General features: G+C 40.7%; 1 long non-coding RNA gene across 1 annotated transcript in view, besides 4 other annotated features; it reads left to right on the forward strand.

The window, feature by feature from the left end:
- LINC01307 (long intergenic non-protein coding RNA 1307) overlaps nucleotides 1–10,091 on the forward strand; it is a 53,477-nt gene extending 43,386 nt beyond the window's left edge. Inside the window, exon 5 of the long non-coding RNA NR_126402.1 lies at nucleotides 10,036–10,091. This is a non-coding gene — a long non-coding RNA (long intergenic non-protein coding RNA 1307). The remainder of the gene's footprint in view (nucleotides 1–10,035) is intronic.
- Nucleotides 3,951–4,245: a silencer, noted in NCBI's record as "tiled region #14885; HepG2 Repressive non-DNase unmatched - State 24:Quies". NCBI's record gives its function as "represses a minimal TATA promoter and a strong SV40 promoter by Sharpr-MPRA in HepG2 cells {active_cell/tissue: HepG2}" and the evidence as "EXISTENCE:reporter gene assay evidence [ECO:0000049][PMID:27701403]".
- Nucleotides 4,419–4,478: an enhancer, noted in NCBI's record as "active region_1402". NCBI's record gives its function as "activates an Ori minimal core promoter by ATAC-STARR-seq in GM12878 lymphoblastoid cells {active_cell/tissue: GM12878}" and the evidence as "EXISTENCE:reporter gene assay evidence [ECO:0000049][PMID:35858748]".
- Nucleotides 4,549–4,688: an enhancer, noted in NCBI's record as "active region_1403". NCBI's record gives its function as "activates an Ori minimal core promoter by ATAC-STARR-seq in GM12878 lymphoblastoid cells {active_cell/tissue: GM12878}" and the evidence as "EXISTENCE:reporter gene assay evidence [ECO:0000049][PMID:35858748]".
- Nucleotides 19,709–19,828: an enhancer, noted in NCBI's record as "active region_1404". NCBI's record gives its function as "activates an Ori minimal core promoter by ATAC-STARR-seq in GM12878 lymphoblastoid cells {active_cell/tissue: GM12878}" and the evidence as "EXISTENCE:reporter gene assay evidence [ECO:0000049][PMID:35858748]".

Genomic DNA, 23,180 nt, shown 5'->3' on the forward strand with positions numbered 1-23,180 from the left:
CTGATGAAATTATGGTTCTCTGGTTATCATTCCAGACTCTGGAAGTATTAGAGTCTGGGTTTTGGAGTTTGATTTTAAAAAGTATTGATGATACAGAACTAGGTGCATGCAGTCCAAAGCTTTGTAGAGGAAGGATTGTTCTCCCACTAGTTATATGTCTTAGAGGCCAATACTACCCAGTACACTTCGGGTACAAGTTCATATAACAGCTAATAGTTACTGCGTGTTTACCATGTGTTAAGAACTGTCAATGCAAAGTCAGTTACATAAAGGCTCTGGGATGAAGCTCATTAAGAAACATGCAGCTAGCAAATGGGAGAGCTGAGACTAGTGCACGGTGTGACATTAAAACCTATCATGATGCTCAGCTAGCAATCAACAGAAGTTTCTCATGTTTCTTTTGCAGTCTCCTAACCATTTCAGTCTCTGTTCCCTCCTCACCAAGAAGCACCAATGCTAGAAGTGAGAGAGAAAAGTGCTATTTTGCTCCCAGAGAAGCCCAAACAGAGAGCAAAATGAACAACAATGGAGCACAGCTCAGATAACGAAATGCAGGACAGAGGACATACACTGGGGACACGTGCTAGCCCATTAAGAACTTTGAAAAGCAATTCTGTGGGCCTTTTCTTGCCGCCCTGCCCTGTGAGCTTTCTGCTTTCTGTGATTTGACTGTGGTGTCTGATGAAGCCCAGTGTTCAAAATGGAAATTAAGTACAAGGGCTCAGTGACAGATGTTCCTTTTTGCCTTGAAGGAAGATAAACACGTAGTTTAATAGACCAAAATGTATGCGTTGGATTCTTCAGAGGGTAAGCATATAGATGCTCCCGCCCCCTCCAAATAGATCTTGTTTATCTAAAGCTTTGCTCCCAGTTGTCATTAATTGCAGATGACAGTCTCTGCCTTTGCCAGCCTGCTAGATGGTGAGTGTTGTGGCTTTTTAACCTGAAGTTTCATCTGGTCAGGGCCTGAAGTCAGACTTGATCATGGCAGCTGGAACATCATGAAGTAGTCTTGCTCTAGGCAGCTTGTTATCTTTGGAGTAACTGGGGTACGAGTGAGTCTCCCAGGCCTTGGGGTTCTTTTATCCTCCTATGCATGTGGCCTGTCTCTGGATTGCACCATAGTTCCCCCGCAGAGGCCAACATTCTGCCTAGCTCCCGAGGGTCTGGACCTGTCTACTGTACTCTCATATCTTGGCTGAGTCTTGCGCTAAAATCTAACAAATCAGCTGGGTACAGTATTCTTCTACCCTGCTCCATCCCACCCATCAGCAAACCCCTTTGAGCACTGACCTTGATTTTTGGAATGACTGGGGCCTGGGATATGGACTACTAGCCACCTTTGAAGCAAATTCCTGTGCTGACCACTCAAGCCACTCTCATTTATAATTTTTCTTGACTCTTTCTTCTTTCCACTTACTACCGTACTCTGGTCTTTCCCCAATTCATCTCTTATTTCAAATTTGTACGGTTCATTCATTCATGAGTTATTTTGGGGAGCTCCACCTTCCATGTGTCGGACACTGTGCTAGGTCCTGATAGATCAAAGATAAGTAAGTCGTACCTCCTCACAAGCAACTTACAGTGTAAGGGAGCATCTAGGCTTCTAAATAGATGATCACAATGTAACTTGATGAGCACAAGGATCCATATATGTGTGGACAGAAGATCATGAGTGGGGAGGGGCATATAGCTCGACAACCCATTTAATGCAAGAAAGACTTGGATATTAAAGAATGGGATGGACGTAATGTAAAGGAAACTCCAGACAGAGAGCAAATGTGAGCAAAGACTTGGAAGTAAAAACAACACGTTGAATGTAAGGAACCATAAGCATTTTTGTTATGCTAGTGGATAAAATTGAATCAGGGAATAATGAAGAGTGAGGCTGGAAAGGTAGGCAGGTGCCTTATCATGAAGAGTGTTAAAGGTAGGGTGACTGTACCATTTTTCTAAACCCAGATGCTTTTTATTTTGAGACAGAGTCTTACTCTGTCACTCAGGCTACAGTGCAGTGGCGTGACCTTGGCTCACTGCAACCTCCGCCTCCCGGGTTCAAGCAATTCTCCTGCCTCAGCCTCCTGAGTAGCTGGGACTATAGGCCTGTGCCACCACGCCTGGCTATTTTTTTTTTTTTTTGTATTTTTAATATAGAGATGCGGTTTTGCCATGTTGGCCAGGCTGGTCCTGAACTCCTGGCCTCAAGTGATCCTCCCGCCTTGGCCTTGGCCTCCCAAAGTGCTGGGATTACAGGCGTGAGCCACCGCACCCAGCCAAGACACTTTTGAGAGTGAAAGCAGTCTCACTAATAATTATCCTAGGGCAAAAATGGAAAACTAGGACCCTCTCAGGAAAACTGGGAGGCATCCTCACCCTACAATTATGACAAGTTAAAAGGCTTGGACTTTATGCTGCAGGCAATGAAAATGTATTGAAGAGTTTTGAGTTTGTGGCTGCTTGGCATCTGCATATGCTTCCTGTTCATGGAATTGGATATTCTTTGCTATAGGGATTCTTTCCTATAGGAATAGATATCCCCTCCTACAGCTATCAGGCAGGTCGGGGGCAGGCATGTGACCTGTCTCTGCCAGATAGATGCTGTGGCCCGGGACCTTAAGTTCTGAGGGAGAGAAGGGAGGAGTGTGAGCATGGTGGTGAGCTGTAGCACTGCCAGAGGTGGTGGTGTCTAGAACAAAGTTCTAAGCAGACCATTCCTGTGGCCCAGTCTTGGCTGTACCTTGTCTCCCCTGATACATGTTTGTTTCTGAGCCTGGTTCTCTAGGCTATGCATTGATTTACCTCTCTGTAATCCTTTCAGTAGAACTTTTGTTTGTAAGGTGAAGTCACAGTTGAGGCTTGTTTCAGTTGGATCACCCGGGTGGCATGGTCCTTCTGCTGTGTTCTGAGAGGAGTTGTGAAGACCATTTGCAATCATCCTCCTCTCTAAGCAAAGCATAAAGAGAACAAGACCTGCCCATGATTGTCCCTCTTAAGGCCTTGTGTAATCACAGAGAATGACAATATGCTGGAGGTGACCCCAGCTGGCCCTCCACTGCTGCTGTTGGACACATTGATAGCACAGGGCAGAGAGTGTGATGGAGGCCTGTGGGGACATTTGGCTTGAACTTTTCAAAGCCCAAATGATGCTGGCCATAAAGGAAAGGCCCTGAAGTCTCCAGGGCTATTCCTTATGTGAATAGTAAATTCTCCTCAAGAAGAGGGGATAGAAAGCTGCATTAGGTAAGTATAAATAAAGATGCCATTTTGCTCTGATCTTTAAAGGATTAGCTTAATAAGAAAAAACAGTGTATATTTTCTGAACTTGCGTTAATTAAGAAAATCACTGAAGTTGTGCTTCCCATAGTTTTCCTTGTGTTTTGTCTGTTCCCTTTGTAATCCATTAAATTTTATGGCATTAGCAGGGATTTGAAGCCCAGGATTTAATCAGTAGTCATTTCTCCTGTATCAGCACTTTTGCACAGTGCTTTGTGTATTAAGCAGTATTTTAGTGCATTGTCTGACCTTTATCTCTTGAATTGCACCACTTAATTGTAACTTCTATTTTGCCACGAGATATATATATATATATATATGATCAAAGGCTATGAATAGCACTTGTGAGTTTTTCCCAAAGGATCACAACAAAAGTCTAACGTGCAGAAATCAGAATTGTCCATGCATTTGGATCTGGGCAGATGCAGACTGGTAGTCTGTGCCCTCTGATGCTACGTAACTCTCCCCACGTCCTTTTTTTTTCCAACGTTAAATCATTTTAAATATGGTATTCAGGATTCTGGCTCACCCCTGGGTGCAATCCAAGTTTTGGACATGCTAGGCCATCAGATCTGAGGAAAATCATTCGATTGAATGGCATGCCCTGTTTTCCTACTGAAAGCTATGCTGATAATCCATTCTCCCTGTCTGACTGCCACACTGTCTTCTAGTGGCAGAAGTCTAAATCTTTAGGGACCCACTCTCTGTTTTCTCTCATGAGAACAGGGTTCCTCTCTTTGCACACAATGCTTTTCAGCATTGGAAGTGTTCAAACCCTTGTTCTCTTGGCCAGTACATCTGTGTTTGAGAGGATAGTAAGAAGCTCATTCATGTGGCCTCTGTCACCTCTCTGAGTCATATGGGAAAGCAAATCTAGGTTCACAGATTTGGCAACTGATAGGCTTAGTTTATTTCCAGAGCAGTTTCTCAGTATGAGTCATATCTGGGAGCATTTGATAGGACACCTTACTCTGAGCTCTGATGGGCAAATTTTGTTTTTGGGTGAGCCTGAAAGGTGAAGCTAATGGGTGAGCTGCAATCATAGCCTCCCTGATTCTATCTCTGCCTCTATCTCTCCTTCCTCTGACTTTGGTTCCCTTCCTTTCTTTCAAGACTGGTCTGTTCCTTTCCCTATTACATCTCTTTCAATAGAATCAATTTCCAAAATATGACTCTCTCCGACCTTCCTCTGCCTCAGTACTTTAGTCCAGTCTGTCCTGTCGAGTGCAAAGCTGGGTTTGGCCTCCAGAGCCAAAACGACTCATTTCACTGGGAAAAGTCCCATTGCTTCCCTTCCAGGCCTACTGGCTTCTGCACCTTAGTCAATGTATTATCTCAGAGGTATTTCTTTTCCTATTTGTATTTTTATTTCAATAGTGTTGGGGTAACAGATGGTGTTTGGTTGCATGAAAAAGAATAATGGTCTCCAACTCCATCCAGGTTGCTGTGAACGCCATAGTTTCATTCATTTTTTATGGCTGAGTAGTATTGCATGGTGTGTGTGTGTGGATATATATGTGTGTGTATATATATATATATATACATATATATATATCACATTTTCTTTATCCACTTGTTGGTTGATAGGCACTTAGGCTGGTTCCATATTTTTGCAATTGCAAATTGTGTTGCTATAAACATGCACGTGCAAGTGTCTTTTTTATATAATGACTTCTTTTCTTCTGGGTAGTTACCCAGTGATGGAATTGCTGGATCAAATGGTAGTTCTACTTTTAGTTCTTTAAGGAGTCTGCATACTGTTTTCCATAGTGGTTGTACTAGTTTACATTCCCACCAGCAGTGTAAAAGTGTTCCCTTTTCACCACAACCACTCCAACATCTGCTTTTTTTTTTTTATTTTTAAATTATGGCCATTCTTGCAGGAGTAAAGTGGTATCTCATTGTGGTTTTGATATGCATTTCCCTGATCATTAGTGATGTTGAGCATTTTTTCATATGTTTGTTGGCCATTTGTATATCTTCTTTTGAGAATTGTCTATTCATGTTCTTTGTCCACTTGTTGGTGGGATTACTTGCTCTTTTCTTGCTGCTTTGAGTTTCTTGTAGCTTCTGAATATTAGTGCTTTGTAAGATGCATAGTTTGTGAATATTTTCTCCCACTCTGCTGATTATTTCTTTTGCTGTGCAGAAGCTTTTTAATTTAATTAGGTCCCATCTATTTATCTTTGTTTTTGTTGCATTGCTTTTGGGTTCTTAGTCATGAACTCGTTGCCTAAGCCAATATCTAGGAGAGTTTTTTGGATGTTATCTTCTAGAATTTTTACAGTTTTGGATCTTAGACTTAAGTTTCTGATCTATGTTGTGTTTATTTTTGTATAAGGTGAGAGATGAAGATCCAGCTTCATTCTTCTACATGTAGCTTACCAATTATCCCAGCACCATTTGTTGGATAGGGTGTCCTTTCCCCACTTTATGTTTTTGTTTGCTTTGTTGAAGATCAGTTAGCTGTTAAGTATTTGGCTTTATTTCTGGATTCTCTATCCTGTTCCATTAGTCTACATGCCTATTTTTATACCAGTACCATACTGTTTTGGTAACTATAGCCTTGTAGTATAGTTTGAAGTCAGGTAATGTGATGCTTCCAGATTTGTTTTTTTATTTGCTTAGTCTTTTTTTGGCTATTAGGGTTGGTTTTTTTTTTTTTTTTTTTTTTTTTTTTTTTTTTTTTTGCTTCCACATGAATTTTAGGATTAGTTTTTCTAGTTCTGTGGAGAATGATGATGGTATTTTGATGGAAATTGCATTGAATGTGTAGATTGCTTTTGGCAGTATGGTCATTTTCATAATACTGATTCTACCCATCCATGAGCATGGGACATGTTTTCATTTGTTTCCAAATACTTCTGAGGAATCTCAGAGGGATTTCTCACCCTCATACCCTTAGACTCTTTCGACCCGGGCTGGAATCAGGACATTCACTATGAACAAAAAATGTTGGGAAATGAGAGGGAGAAGACAGCTAAGTGACCTTGAGCAGGTTCTTTAACATCTCTAAGCTTGAGAATCTTTATTATAAAATAGAAATAATATGAACAGGTTGCTGAGAAAATTCAGGGAAATCACATATGTAAAATTCCTAGCAGTGTCAAGAACTAAGAAGGATCTGAGGTTTTACCCTACTTGTAAGCTAACAAGTTAGCCTGCTACATGTCCATGGGTGCTGCCAAAAGACACAAGACTCCTGGGTCAGAGACAAATGACTTTATTATTCACAACCACAGTGGTAGCCAGAGGATCAGAAATTATGCTGGTCACTTGAGCTCCACTTCCCACAAGGCAAAGCTAGGAGGGCCAGATGATGCCTGCACATGCAATGGGGTTGTGTTACAGAGAGAAAGTCTGACTTTAGGGAGCCCCATTTTTATTTATTTTTACTTTTTTATGCCTGATGTATCTTTTTTCTTTATTTTTTTTTTGTAAGTTTGTCTTTTATTTCAATAGGTTTTTGGGGAACAAGTGGTGTTTGGTTACATGAATAAGTTCTTTAGTGGTGATTTCTGAGATTTTGGTGCACCTATCACCCAAGTAATGTACACTGTACTCAGTGTGTAGTATTTTATCCCTTACCACTATCCCACCATTTACACTGAGTCCCCAAAGTCCATTGTATCATTCTTATGCATTTGCATCCTCATAGCTTAGCTCCCAATTATGAGTGAGAACGTATGATGTTTGGTTTTCCATTTCTGAGTTACTTCACTTAGAATAGTAGTTTCCAATTCCATCTAGGTTGCTTATGAATGCCATTATTTCATTCCTTTTTATGGCTGAGTAGTATTTCATGGTACATATATACCAGATTTTCTTTATCCACCACTTGGTTGATGGGAACCTCATTTTAAAATAATAGGCAGTAAGTAAACCTTTTTATTTTATTGGGAAGAAGATATCTCTATTTTTCAATGCTTGTAGTTTTACAAACATCAGAAAAAAAGCCCAGAACAAAAACAGCGAGGGGGCATTCATTTACAAGATTTGTAAGAATGCAAAAGAACATTTGAGAATTGTCTCTTAACACAATACCTGGCATCTGATGAGCTCAATGAATTTTGGCTGTCTTTATTGTTAATAAAGTACCTAATATTGTACTAGCATATAATAAGTACCTAGTAAAATGGTAGCTATGAATAATGGTAGCTTTTCTTTTTTTTTGTTTTTTTTTTTGAGGTACAGTCTCGCTCTGTCACCTAGGCTAGTGTGCAGTGGTGCGATCTCAGCTCACTGCAACCTCTGCCTCCCGGGTTCAAGCGATTCTTCTGCCTCAGCCTCCCGAGTAGCTGGGACTACAGGAGCACGCCCCTACGCCCGGCTAATTTTTTTGTATTTTTAGTAGAGATGGGGTTTCACCATGTTAGCCAGGATGGTCTTGATCTCCTAACCTCATGATCTGCCCACCTCGGCCTCCCAAAGTCCTGGGATTACAGGCGTGAATCACTGTGCCCTGTGGTGGTGGACCTTTTCTTGAAAATAATGAGACTCAAATTTCTGCTAGTGAGCAATTTAAGGTATATACAGAACCTATCTCAGAGTCTGATACGTAGTAGGCATTCAATATATATTACTGAAGGAATAAATAATATAATAATAAATAATATATAAATATATAAATCATATCTCATTCAATATATATGAAAGAATAAATAGTAACACTTTGGAAATTCTATAAAACAAATATAAGGTGTGATTATCAACCTGCAAACCGTGTATGTTTTTCTGTTTTCCCTTCTATCATGTAATTTTTTTCCATAATATTTTACATATTGTAGGCTCCTCACAAATAATGTTTGAAAGGTTAATAGCAAAATAAATAAAATACAAAATTTTCCAATTTTAATTGTAACTGTGATTTATACTTCTTTCTCACCATATATAGTATCAAACTGATGAAGTAATTAGGATTTAAAATTTCTTTCCATACTATAAAATGGCAAAATATGTTCCTTGCCATGGTCTTGTAAAAGTTTTGAAGACATTGAAATGGCTAAAAATGTAAACGGCAAGAGAGAGGAGAATTAAAATATAAATAACACACAAACTGGATAAGCTACTATAGAGTAAATTGAAAGTTAATTAGCTCAGGAATAGAACTCCTATATTTCCCATGGCAATTTGCCAAGATTCTTGCCCACTTTGCTATAAAAAATGTTTACCCTGGCCAGGCGCTGTGGTTCACACCTATAATCCCAGCACTTAGGGAGGCTGAGGTGGGTGGATTGCCTGAGCTCAGGAATTCGAGACCAGCCTGGGCAACATGGTGAAACCCTGTCTCTACTAAAAATACAAAAAATTAGCCAGGCATAGTGGCAGGTGCCTGTAGTCCCAGCTACTTGGGAGGCTGAGGTAGGAGGATGACTTGAACCCAGGAGGCGGAGGTTGCAGTGAGCCGGGATTGTGCCACTGCACTCCAGCTCAGGCGACACAGTGAGACACTTGTCTCCCCCCCCAAAAAAAAAAAAAAAAAAAAAGTTTACCAAATCGCCCTTAGGTATAAATCTTAAGTCCAGAAATTAAAATCTCCAAGGAAAACTCAGGAGTCACATTAAACCAATGGTTCAAACCTGGTCACCGTTTCCCATTGTCTGGATTTACTGAAGGATCCATTTGGTGGGGGTCAGAGAGGAATTAAGCTAGTGATGGAGGATTGAGGGTGGGGGATGAAGAGGTCAGGAGTAGGATGAGAGTGAAAGCGGGGAGGGCTTTAGGTATTTTTCTCCTCACAGGGCTTTCCTGTGTTCCTGGGAAGGTTTTCGTTTTCTGAAGCTCCAGATTGCCTTATCTGCAAATCAGGGAGGGTGCTGCTGTGTGCTTTGAAGACCAGTACTGGATGTGGTGGGCAAAGCACAGAAGCGCAGACTGAGATTATTAGTGCAGATTTGGTATTTATCAGGTCAGATCGGGGCTGCTGTCTGTCAGTTTGGTTAGATTTTTAGGGGGTGTCTCTGAGGCAAATAATGAATAAAAAAGTAATACTGTGCTGTTTATCACCTGCTGGTCTTTAAACTATAGTTAAATTTCCCCTGATAATTTCTTTTCCATTAATCTTTCTTCCTGTTAGGAAATCTTTGGAAAATTGCTGACTTGGCAGCTGAAAATATTTTCTTGGCAAGCCCTTTGAAATTGTAATTGTATTAAAGGGCCTTTTTCTTATCTTTGCCTTTAAATAACTTTTTTTCTCCCTGGTTCTCTGTTGGAGAAAGAAGAATAAAATGCATTGTTCATCCTTATCCTCAACACATCATTATTTTTGAACCTTTGAAGAGCAGTGAAATTCTCTATTGTGAGGGATTTTAGTCTTAAATCAACAGCATGTCAGGAAGCATTAGTGAGGCACAACATCACATGCATATATGGACGGGTCTGGTCATCAAGCATAAACGAGCTGCCAGCAAACCAAGCTACAGAAACAAGAGTTCTTAATTCCCCTACCGCCATTCCCACACATTTAGACTCTAGGGATGCAAATACAATATACCAATTATGGTAACACTTTCTGACCTCAACTCATCAAGAAATATAAAACTGCGTGTTCAATATTTTGTGGAGCCACTGTTTCAAAATTGATTTTTAAGCAATGGCTACTCGTGTGTTTTTTTGTCTCCTCTGGGAATCTGGGGTTCGGAAGGGCAGTGCATTTCTCTTGATGTCTCTCTGAGATAAATAAAAAGAAAATAGGAGGCCATTTTCAGGTTGGCCTCAAGGTCTCTCCCAGGCATCCAGACTCATTTTGTCATTCCTCTCCAGGGCTTATGCTTGGCCTACTGATCCCAGAGGAGAGAATCATAGAGAATTGTGGAATTGGAGAGCTGCAAATAGCCTGCCCTCATTTGTAAGTCACCCCTGATTCAGGCTACAGAGCTGCAGCTATTGATGGCATCCATGGAAATGACTCTGGCCTTGAGGCTCAGCTTCTCACAGAGAAGCGGTTTTTCCCTTCTGCATCCAGTGCTTGATGGGAGACTTGACAAAGTGGTGGCAGAGCTGGAGCCTGAGGAAAACCCAACAGAGCTTGCATTTATTACAAAATACTGAATTGCTAAGTGCTAAATGAGATTGCCTCCATGTCCTGCTCATTGACTTACAGGAAAAAAATGCACCCTCAAATAGCAGGTGGGGTTGGAATTAGGAGGAAGTGGTTGGAGACTGCACCAAAGAGCAGGGGGCCAACCATGGTCCACACAAGGAGATGTGGAAGTGTTTCATTCTACCCAATGTTCTTGTGGAGTTAGTTGTTACTTAGCTAAAAAGAATGTTGGGGAGGACCCGAGTTTGGGTCTTAGTGCTGCCATTTTATTAGTTGGGTAACCTTGGGCAAGTTAACAGTTCTGTGCTTCAGTGTCTTCATCTATAAAGAGAAAATAACAATTTGCAGGGGCACTTAAAGATAAAATGAATGTTTATGTAATCTTTCTGGTGCACAGTAATGCTGAATTAATGTCTCTATTCTTTTTCTTTTTTTTTTTTTTTTAAACAACAAAAAAACCCCTCCTGTCTTTTCTGTTTTTCCTCAATCAACTTAGAGGTTTATTTTGCCAAGGTTAAGGACCATGGCCCATGACACAGCCTCAGGAGGTTCTGAGAACATGTGCCCAGGTTGGCTGAGTTATAGCTTGGCTTTATACACTTTAGACAGACAGAAGTTACAGGCAAAAATATAAATCAATATACATAAAGCAAATATTGGTTTGGCCTGGAAAAAAGGGACATGATGGGGGCAGAGGGGGTAGGGGATTCCAGGTCATAGGTGGATTCAAAGATTTCCTAATTAGCAATTGGTTGAAAGACTTACATGCTGCCTGAAGAGTTGAAGTCAGTTCGAGTTCAGATAAAGGGGGTTTTGAAAGCCAAGGTTCTTGTCAAGTATATGAAACCTCCAAGCAGCAGGCCTCAGAGAGAATATATGGTGAATGTCTCTGTTCACACCTCAAAAGGCAACAGACTCTCCAGAAAATATCTAGTCATGGAAGGAGATTCTTTACAGAATGCAAATTTCCCCCACAAGAAACAGCTTTGCAGGGCCATTTCAAAATATGTCAAAGAAATAAAATACTTTGGTTTCCTTCAGAGCCTACTGTTTGTCCTGTGATGTTATACCAGAGGCAGGTTGGAATTTTGTATGTCATTGCTACAAAGAGGCTGTTTTAAGATCTCCGTTTTCATGTTAATATTGGTCAGTTGTGTCTAAACTCTAAAAGCAGGAGAGTATAATGAGGCATGCCTGATTCTCATTTCCTGTCGTGACCTGAACTAGTTTTTCAGGTTAATTTGGAATCCCGTTGGCCAAGGAGGGGAGGGTCATTCAGTCAGATGGGGAGCTTAGAACTTTATTTTCGGTTAACATTCTCCCTCTTCTGGCCAAGATTTGCCAGAGGCAACATCAGTGATCAAACTTTTATTTTTGTCCCATAGCTGAACTCATGTCTTAATGATTACTTATATTAATCGCATGAGACTGGCCCTCTAGAAGCCCATTCTCTATCCCACTTAGAATGGGGCACCAACACTGCTTCTCTAGATTTCATAAGCAATGCTAGCTAGCTTCTGTGCCAAATTGCCAGTTGTTTCAAGTAATGGAAATAGTTAGTAGGTACGTTCTTGGGAATGGGGAGTCCCCTACGGGTTGGGGGTAGGGAGTGAGGCTGTCAGTTACATGAAGACAGGGCAGAGGACACAAGGATACAGGACATAACAGACACACAGGAAGTGAATGAATGCATTTAAGTGTTTGGTGGCCAAAGTAGGGCAAGGAGAGAACTAATGAGGGCAAATAGAAAAGAAATGGCTTCTGTTTCTGTATCTTGACTTGCTTCTCATCAGTTTGTAAATGGAGGTAGGTTGTAGAAAACACACACACACACACACACACACACACACACGAACACCAAGAGCAATGACTAAGAAGAAGGAGGGACAGAGTTTTGAGTTTGGAAGAGCATGCTGGGCACAGAATTTGAAGTAGTCAATCAATTAGCATTTCACATTTTGTAATTTAGAATCATACATACATATCTCCTGGTCTAACCCTCATAGAATATAGGATTTCTCCTGTATTAGTTTCCTATTGCTGCTAGAACAAATTACCACAACTTTTGTGGCTTGAAACAAGACAAATGTATCGTCTTACAGTTCTGGAAGTCAGAAGCTGAACATGGATCTTATAGACTAAAATCAAGGCATTAACAGAACTGCATTTCTTCTGGAAGCTCTTTGGGAGAATCTGTCTCTTTGCCTTTTTCAGCTTCCAGAGGCTGCTCTCAGGGCTTAGCTTGTGGCCCCCTTCCTCCATCTTCAAAGCAAATTACTCAATTTCTGCTTCTATCAGCCAATCTCCTACTCTGACTGGTTCTCTACTTCCTTCCCTTATACAGACCTCTTATATGGGCCCGCTCAAATAATCCAGGATAATCTCCCATCTCAAGATTCCTACCCTAATCATATCTGCAAAGTCCATTTTTTACATTTAAAGCAATGCATTTACATTTCTTGGTGTTTAAGACACAGACATATTTGGGGAGCCATAACTCATTCTGTCACACTTCCCTAAATCACCCTTTCCTGATGGTTAGGTGCACACCTCTTCCTGAGTACATTCTGAGGCAGCCCATTTCAATGTAAATGTTATCTGACTTTCTTTTGCTAGTTAAATGAATGACTGAGTGAGTAGAGGAAGCCACACGCTCTTTCTCTTTCTCTTTCTCTTCACTCATGGGTTGAAAGCGACCAGTAAGAAGTCAGACAAGAATAATTAGGAAAGTTTGCTAGGGTTTTTGTCATTACCTTGAGTCTTGACAGGCAGATCTCCAAGAGAACAGTAGCTTGGCTACCTACCCCCTAGTCAAAAGGGCCATGCAGGAATACAAATATACTCTTTTAGCTTCTGATGAAAGAACTGGGCATCATTATCCCTAAGGACAACATTGATTAATTGTAATGTATGCATAACTGCTTAGCCTATGTACAAATTCTTCCACTGTCATTGCAGGGTACAATACCAACATTGCCTTGAGCCAGTTCAGATAAACACCAATAAGAAGTAATGTATTTCTTCATTTACTTACTGCGGAATCAGTGGGTAGCCTCTTTCAACCCAAGGCTATCCATTTTCAAAGGGGAAATGGTACAATAAATGGAGGATCCCCATGGCTCAGACAAAGACTGTGTTCTTCTTCTTGATTATTTTTGTTATAGAGTTATGACTATTCAAACAATTCTAGAAAGCTCTTTCCTGTTGGCAATATCTCCAGGTAGCTCTCTCATTAAGCCCATTCAGTTCAGTGCTCTGATGTGTAAGACATCATACAGTATAAAATTGTCCCATGCAAAATCTACTTTCCCCTAAATATGTATTGTTGACTTGGCTAAAAACTTCTCATCAGACAGTGAACAGTGAAAAATACTTTACTCTTGCCATCTGCCCAATAAACAGAATCACACAGTGTGCTCAACTCCTCTAAGTGATCATTTAAGGTGACTCCTGCTATTAACACATATAGCCGCTGGGCATACTGACTCCACCCCCTGTTCTTGCTGCTCTGGCTGTGGCACCCCCCTATACCCGCTTTAGTTTGATGGTCCTTTTATGCCCATTCTTCCCAGTTCCCAACATTTTATTAATCATTATGTTTTAAAAGAAATCAGTTTCATTGGGTTATTATTTACATACAAATGCATATATCAGTGTAAACATCACTGCAATTAAGATGCGGAATATTTCCATTCCTATAAAAAGTTCCCTCCTCCGCTTTTGCAATTAATTATTTGCTACCCTCCTGCCCCAAGAAGTCTTCTGTTACTATAGATTAGTTTCCCTTTTCTAGAATTTCATATAGATGGAATCATACAGTATATATTATTTTGTGTAGGCTTTTGTTTTAAAATTTAGCATCATGTTTTTGAAATTCATTCATATGGTATATATCAATCGTTTCTTCTCTTTTATTGCTTAGAAGTGTTCCATGGTATGCATTTAACACATTTTGTGTGTCTGTTCACTGGTTATTGCCTATTTAGGTTGTTTCTTGTTTTGGGCTGCAATGAATGAAGTTACTGTGAATATTTGTATACACAACCCTATGGATATATCGTTTCATTTTTAATTTTTTTGAGTAAATTCTGAGGAGTGGAATTGCTAGGCCATAGATAACTATGCAAGTAACTTTATAAGAAATGGACAAAGTGTTTTCCAAAGTAGCTATACCATTCTATATTCCTACAAATTTTGTCTGAGAGTTCCAGTTATACCACATGCTGGGCAGCAGTTGGTATTATAATCTTTTAAATTTTAACCATTCAAATGGGTGTGCAGTAAGATTTCATTGTGGCTTTAATTTCTCATTTTCCATAACTAATCATTTTGAGCACCTTTTCATGTGTTTATTGCTATCCACGTTTCTTCTTTTGTGAAGCATCTCTTAGCATTTTTTGCCCATTTTTAAATGGAGTTGTCTTATTGAATTGTAAGATTTCTTTATATATTCTGTGTACAAGCCTGTTATTAGATATATGCATTGTATTTGTTTTATACCAGTCTGTAGATTGACTTTTTATTTTCTTAACATTGATTTTTAATTTTGCTGATGTCTAATGTATTAGTTTCCTTCTTATTGCTACTGTAACAAATTACCACAAATTTAGTGGCTTAAAACAACACAATTTGTCTTAAAGGTCTAGTGGTCAGAAGACCAATCTAAGTTGGCAGGGCTGCATTCGTTCTGGAGACTCCAGGGGAGAATCCATTGCCTTGCCTTTTCCCACCGCTAATGGTTGCCTGCATTCCTTCCCTCAAGGTGCCACAGCACTCTGACCTTGGTTTCTTTTGTCAAAGGTGCCTCCTCTGACTCTGACTTCCTGCCGCCCTCTTTCAAGGACTCTTGTGATTACATTAGGCCTTCCCAGATAACCCATAGTAATCTCCCTATTTCAACATCCTTAACACAATTACATCTGCCAAGTCCCTTTTGCCATGTAAGGTAACCCATTCACAGGTTCTGGAGACAGGATGTGGACACTTTTGGGGGATCATTATTCAGTCTACTGCATGGAATTTACAATTCTTTTTCTTTTAGGGTTCATGATTTTTGCATCTTACCTAGAAAATTTTGCCCTATCCCAAGATCATAAAAATTTTCTTCTATATTATGAAAGTTTTATACCTTTAGCTATTATATGTAGGTATGCAATCTACTTCAAATTAATTTTTTGTATGGTTTTGAGGTAAGAGTCAGCTTTCATTTTTTTTTTTTTAAGTTTCCAGTTTCTCCAGCATCAATGTTGAAAAGACTATCCTGTTGAATTACCTTGACATGTTTTTTGAAAATCAATTGATACTTAACACGTGTATTGATTTCTATTCTCTCTGTTCTGATTTTTTCTGAAAGCAAAACTGATTCAATCCTTGGCTTAGAATCATTGAATAGTTTCTAATATCCTATTTTTTTAAACATGATTTACAAGACCCTTCATTATATGACCCTTTCTTCTCTTTCCAACGATATCTTTCACCCTCAATTGTACTGACCACCTTCTAGTTTCTTGAATACACCATACTCTTTTAACTCCTCTGCACACACTTCTCCCTCTGCCTTGAACACCCTTTCCTTCCTCTTTGCCTCACTTTTCTCTTCTCATTCATTAAGCGACCATCACTTTCCCCAGAAAACTTTTTCTGACTTCTTTCTTTATGCTATCAGAGCAGCTAACACACTGAATTCCAGCTGCCACTAGAGATACCTGTATCCCCTCTACATATGGTTTTCTGGGGCAGGTGGGTTGGGGTGAAGACCATGTGTTACCCATTTATATCTCCTAGCACCCAGCACATTGATTTGTTAAATGAATAATGATGAACCTTCTGTCACACATATGGGGCTCGCCTCACAATGGAATTGCTGATTGATATTCACAGCAACTACACTCAACTATGAAGAATGGACTGGATGAAGAAAATGGAAAAGAGCCAATTTCTTATTTAGGCAAAGAGGGAATGAAGTATTGAGACACAAAGGAATATTCTAATAGATATACCAGAGTTTTGGTAAATAAATTTTACTATTTTATATGATAACCCTTAACTGGGGAATAGGTAATCTGATTAATAAAATATTCCGGTTAATAAAGATCCTTGTATACATTTTCAATTTAATAAGGGTAAAGGAGGAAAAAGAACAAATGTTTACGTAGTACATTCAACAAACTTTGTACTGAACTATGCACTTTATAAATGTAATCTCATGAAACTCCCAAAACAACTCTGGGATGTTAGGATGATTATGTTAATGCCCAGAGAGGTAATATAAATAACCATACAGTTAGTGGAGAAGACTTAGGTTTGAAACCTAGAGATATCTTCTTCTAGAGTCTGCACCTATTCTATTCCCTAGGAAAATGACTACATTTTCTTACCACTAAAGCTAATCCCCAGTTCCTCTGATAATTCATAAGGAATCAATGATGTTGTAATGACTTAGGGAATTATTGAACACAAGTTGCTATTTTACTTGAAAGGGGTAGATATATTTAAAAAGGTTTCCCAACTTTCCAATATATTTTTTGATTATGTGGTATCCCGTTAACATAGACTTTGTCTTGGCAGTTGTTGGAATTTTAGGTTGGCTCTAAGATGCCATTATCCACAGGGATTCCAGAAAAGTGCCAAATTAGCCCCAAACTGTGGTCATCCCTTCAACAAAATTCTCCCAAATGGTACATAAAACAGGAAGTATAACTCAGTGGAAACAGGAGGTAACTTTATTGTTAGCTACGGCCATAACTCTCAGGCAGAACTCAGGGAAGGATGGCCTAGTGGGGCCTTAACAGGGTTGGGAAATTCCTCTACCTTATATTCTTTGTTTTTAGTCCTTAACATTTGTTTTTAAATCCACTGGGATATAGCCCAGTGAGGCTTGTTGCAGTGTTTTTTAGGGGAAGAAATCATCAGAGCATCAGGGAAGTCTATGCCACAGCCCCATCTGATAGGTTCCTTTTCCTTGCTGCTCTGAACATGGGTGACCATTTCAACTGAAGAAACAATGCCTCTAGTGTTACTCCCCAAAGTTTCTAAAATTGATCAAAAGAAGACATTAATTATTTCCAAGGCCACATTGGTTGAAATTTATTTTAGTATTTCCCGTCTCAAATTATGCTCTGCTTCAGTGTCCTGCCTAGGTTAGCAAAGAGGTTTATATATTAGGGACACATGATAGGATTCCCAAAATAAGAGGATGCCAAACAGAAAACTTCCCCAAATTGGAACAAAACATAATTCTCTACCTTTTGTTGCTAAAAGCAATTAAAACTGCCAAATAAAAATATTCTTTTTTATTGGAGAAATTACTAAGGAAATAACCTCTCGACCTCTCATTCATCTTCCTTTTTGTTTTTTATTTTTTGAGACCGGGTCTATGTCATGCAGACTGGAGTGCGGTGGCACGATCTGGGCTTCTTGTAACCTCCACATCCTGGGCTTAAGCAATCCTCCTACCTCAGCCTGCTGAATAGCTGGGACTACAGGTGTGAGCCAACATGCCTGGCTAATTTTTGTAGAGACTGGGTTTCACCATGTTGCCCAGGCTAGTCTCAAACTCCTGGGCTCAAGCAATCCAACCACCTTGGCCTCCCAAAGTGCTGGGATTACAGGTGTGAGCCACCATGCCCTGCCATTAATTTTCAATAAAAGACATGTGAGTATCTATGGGGGGCTTGGAGTCCCAGGTAGAGTTTGGTTCATCTTCCAATGAAGCTGGTGTTGTCTTACAGCATTTCTATATTTGGATCAACCCAACAATTAGTGTCTCAGATGTTTTACTTTCCCAAATCATGAAGTGTCAAATAAAACTGTGACCATGATTTCTATGTTGATGATACTGACTGGTCTTCTAAGAAATGTAGGAATAATTTACAACATATAAAGGAACTTTGAGAGAAAGGCAGGAGTTTAAGAAATATAAGAAACTTGAGAAGAGATAGATTTGTATTACACAAGTTTTAGGGGATTGAGGAAGCCAAAAGAGCACAATAACTTATCTGGCAAATCAGAGAAAAGGCAGCTGCTAGAAGGGATTTTGTCTAGGCAGATGTGGAGTCTGAATGCAGTGAACAAAGTGATGCTGGGCAGAATTCAGAAGAGAATAAACCAAAATTTAGGTGCCTTGAAGAACAATTTTTTTTTAAATGGGGAAGTATTGTTTTTGGCTATAAATGCCAGACTACCCTGATTTGAACTGTTTTAAATATGAAGAGAATTTATTGTCTCAAGAATTGGAAGTACAGAGGTAGAAGATGGGGTGGGCCCAAGAACAGTACAATCTTGAGCTCATTGCCATTGTCAAGGACCTGGGATCTTATCTGCCTCCACTCTGCTGCCTCGGTGTGGGTACCATCCTAAGGGTGGATCCCCTGTGGTAGCAAGATGGATGCAGGTGGCAACAGGAGCTGTTTTCTTCCTTGTTTATGTCCAGTAGAAGAGAAAGAGGGAAGCCTTTTCCCTAAGCAGGGAATATAATTCATTCCTTTTCATCTGATTGGACAGATTATATGCTCATCTATTAGTCAAAAATCATCCCTGGGTCATGTGATAATTGGCACATTGACTGATGTGTAATAGTCTCTGAAGGTAAAAATGGGGTAGATATCTGAACAGGAATTGAATTCTGTTGAGGATGGGGGAGGAGAGTCTATATGTTGGATATACAACTGTATTAGTTCATTTTCATGGTGCTGATAAAGGCATACCAAAGACCGGGCAACTTACAAAGGAAAGAGGCTTAATGGAGAACTCACAGTTTCACATGGCTAGGGAAGCCTCACAATCATGGTGGAAGGCAAGAAGGAGCAAGTCACATCTTACATGGATGGTGGCAGGTAAAGAGAGAGCTTGTGCAGAGAAACTCCTGTTTTTAAAACCTTCAGATCGTGTGAGACCCTTGCATTTTCACAAGAACAGCATGTTAAAGACCTGCCTGCATGATTTGATCATCTCTCCTTGGGTACCTCCCACAACATGTAGGAATTATGGGAGCTACAAGATGAGATTTGGATGGGGACACAGAGCCAAATCATATCATTCCACCCCGACCTCTCCCAAATCTCATATCTTCACATTTCAAAACCAATCATGCCTTCCCAATAGTCTCCCAAGGTCTCAGCTCATTTCAGTGTTAACTCAAACGTCCACAGTCAAAAGTCTCATCTGAGACAAGGCAAGTCCCTTCTGCCTATGAGCCTGTAAAATCAAAGCAGGTTAGTTACTTACTAGATAGAATGGAGGGTACAGGCATTAGGTAAATACAGCCATTCCAAATGGGAGAAATTGGCCAAAACAAAGGGGCTACAGGCCCCATGCAAGTCTGAAATCCAGCAGGGCTGTCAAATCTTAAAGCTCCAAAATGTTCTCCTTTGACTCTGTCTCACATCCAGGTCATGTGAGATGTAAGAGGTAGGTTCCAATAGTCTTGGGCAGCTCTGTCCCTGTGGCTTTGCAGGGTATAGCCCCTCTTCTGGCTGCTTTCATGGGCCGGCATTGAGTGTCTGGCTTTTCCAGGCACACAATGTAAGCAGTCAGTGGATCTACTGTTCTGGGGTCTGGAAGATGGTGGCTCTCTTCTCACAGCTCCACTAGATGGTGCCCCAGTAGGGACTCTGTGTGGGGGCTCTGACCCCACATTTCCCTTTTGCACTGACCTAGCAGAGGTTCTCCACGAGGGCCCTGCCCCTGCAGCAAACTTCTGCCTGGGTATCCAGATGTTTCCATACATCCTCTGAAATCTAGGCAGAGGTTCTCAAACCCCAGTTCTTGACTTGTGTGCACTTGCAGGCCCAACACCATGTGGAAGCTGCCAAGGCTTGGGGCTTCCACCCTCTGAGGCCATGGCCTGAGCTCTGCAATGAACCCTTTCAGCTACAGCTGTAGCAGCTGGAACACAGGGCACCAAGTCCCTAGGCTGCAAACAGCACAAGGACCAAGGGCTCAGCCCATGAAGCCACTTTTTCCTCCTAGGCCTCCAGGCCTGTGATGAGAGGGGCTGCTGTGAAGACTTCTGACATGCTCTGGAGACATTTCCCCATTGTCCTAGGGATTAACATTCAGCTCCTTGTTACATATGCAAATTTCTGCAGCTGGCTTGAATTTCTCCTCAGAAAATGGGATTTTCTTTTCTATCACATTGTCAGGATGCAAATTTTCCAAACATTTATGTTGTTTCCCTTATAAAACTCAATGTCTTTAATAGCACCCAAGTCACCTCTTGAATGCTTTGCTGCTTAACAATTTATTCTGCCAGATACCCTAAATCATCCCTCTCAAGTTCAAAGTTCCACAAATCTGTAGGACGGGGCAAAATGCTGCCAGTCTTTTTGCTAAAACATAACAAGAGTCACCTTTACTCCAGTTCCCAACAAGTTTCTCATCTCCATCTGAGACCACCTCAGGCTGGATTTCATTGTCCATATCATTATCAGCATTTTGGTCAAAGCCATTCAACAACTCTCTAGGGAGTTCCAAACTTTCCCACATTTTCCTGTCTTCTTCTGACCCCTCCAACCTGTTCCAACCCCTGCCTGTTACCCAGTTCCAAAGCCACTTCCACATTTTTGGATATCTTTTCAGCAGTGCCCCACTCTACTGGTACCAATTTACTGTATTAGTTCATTTTCATGCTGCTGATAAAGACATACCTGAGACTAGACAATTTACAAAGGAAACAGGTTTAATGGAAAACTCACAGTTCCACATGGCTGGAGAAGCCTCACAATCATGGTGGAAGGCAAGGAGGAGCAAGACACATCTTACATAGATGGCGGCAGGCAAAGACAGAAAGGAGGGAGCTTGTGTAGAGAAATTCCTGTTTATAAAACCATCAGATCTTGTGAGACCCATTTCCTATCATGAGAACAGCATGGGAAAGACCTGCCTCCATGATTCAATTACCTCCCACTGGGTCCCTCCCACAATACATGGGAATTCAAGATGAGATTTGGGTGGGGACACAGCCAAACCATATCAACAACAAACAACATTACTACAGAGTCCAACAATGATAGACTGAGTCTGCAGATGTCAAGTTCAAGAGTTCTCAAAAGAAGCTGGGGTGAAACAGAATAATTGGATACCCCATTTAGGGCCAAGGGCACTCACCAGAGCGAATGTCTCTGGGGCCTGCTCTGAGAAACATGAGAACTAGGTAAGTTTTTACCCACCCACATTATGATTAGAGAGGGATGGATCCAAATGTATAAATCTGAATGTCAGGTGAAGGGTGGTAGAGAATAAATGACAAGGTTAGAATCCAGGAGGGTGGGAACAGGTTAGAGTCTGTGGTGAGAGATGAGTTAGTGGGATTGGTCGAGCACCCTGGATAAAATTCATGAAGGTTTTGGAGGCCTGTTTCCCATGGTGTTGGCAATGTGGGTCAGGCCTGAAAATGTCAAGATCACATTAGGTTAGAGCATTGGTTCTCATACTTTCATATGCATTAGAATCACCTCAGGGCTTGTTAAACTAAATTGTTGGGCCCCAGTCCCAGGGTTTCTGCTTCAGTAGATCTGGGGTAGGGTTTGAAAATTTGCATTTCTAACAAAGTTTCCAGGTGCTGCTAGTCTGGGGACCTCACTTTGAGAACCACTGGATTAGAGAAACAGCTTGCCAAGGGCTGTTAAACTGGTGTTTTTCAATGTATGGTGTGAGGGCCACCTGCTAAGAATCACTGGTGGAGGCTGTTCAAGATGCTAATCTTCTAAGCTCTATCCCCAGAGGTTTGTGTTAGGGGCCTTGGAGAAGAACCTGCAAATCTACTTTTTTTTTAAAACAAGTTCTCAAGATGATTCTTATGTTGCTATGGTTTGTGAACCACTCTAAGTCATGTGAAGCTCATTTAAACCATCACTTATCTCTGTGTGCTTTGTGTAGTAAGCAGGCTACTGCAGTGACTCATCACCTTTTGTGGCTGCCACAGTGGCATAGAATCAAGCACTGGGGTTTTGGGAGATTGACAGAGAGGGGTTCAGATCCTGTGTGTGCCACATTCTATTTGGGGGATCTTGGACAAAGAGATTTAATCATTCTGGGCTTCAAGTTCATAATCTGAAAGATGGAATAATGAGACAAGTGTTATGTAATAGTCACCTAACATCATGTCTGATTTTTCTTTTTTAATTTACAAAGGGAAGAGGTTTAATTGACTCACAGTTCCACGTGGCTGAGGAGGCCTCACAATCATGGCAGAAGGCAAAGGAGGAGCAAAGTCACGTCTTACCTGGCAGCAGGCAAGAGGATGTCTGATTCTTAGTAAGCCCTCAATAAGCAGTAGCTCCTCTATGATTTCTTCATATTCTTATTTCCAGCAGTATGATATGTATGATATGCCAGTTGACCCACTGAACAGGCATCTTGCCAGAGGCAGTTTCATATGCTGCTTGACTTGAATCAAGAGAAGGCATCAGAGGAACACTATCACAGAAAAAGATTAAAAAGAACTTTGGGACTTAAAAGGCAGAAGGAGAAAAACTATTCTCTGGATAGTGCTGGTGAAAAGTGAGCAGACAGTGAGATATCATTGGAGCTTGTCTTCTGCATGTTTGGTTGTAACTCCTGTCTTCATTCATAATGCCTCACATCTCCTCCTGACACATGGCCGGGACTCTGTTTGTGATGAATGTTTGTACACATGGAGGAGGGAGGTACATATGCTGTACATGCTTAGAGGTAGATACTTACAGGGAGCAGAAGAAGTGTGGGTGGTCAGCCAAAATGAGGAAAATACTTCTGAAACTTAAAACAGACCATGAAATCAAATAAAGCCTGGAAATATTGTAAGTGTGGTCCCCAAATTTAGCACCACTGTGTTGACTTATTTTACTGCTCTGCGTCTATCTGGTCACACACATAAACAGGATAA

Source organism: Homo sapiens, chromosome 1, assembly GCF_000001405.40.
Source record: "Homo sapiens chromosome 1, GRCh38.p14 Primary Assembly".
In the NCBI taxonomy this organism is placed as follows: domain Eukaryota; kingdom Metazoa; phylum Chordata; class Mammalia; order Primates; family Hominidae; genus Homo; species Homo sapiens.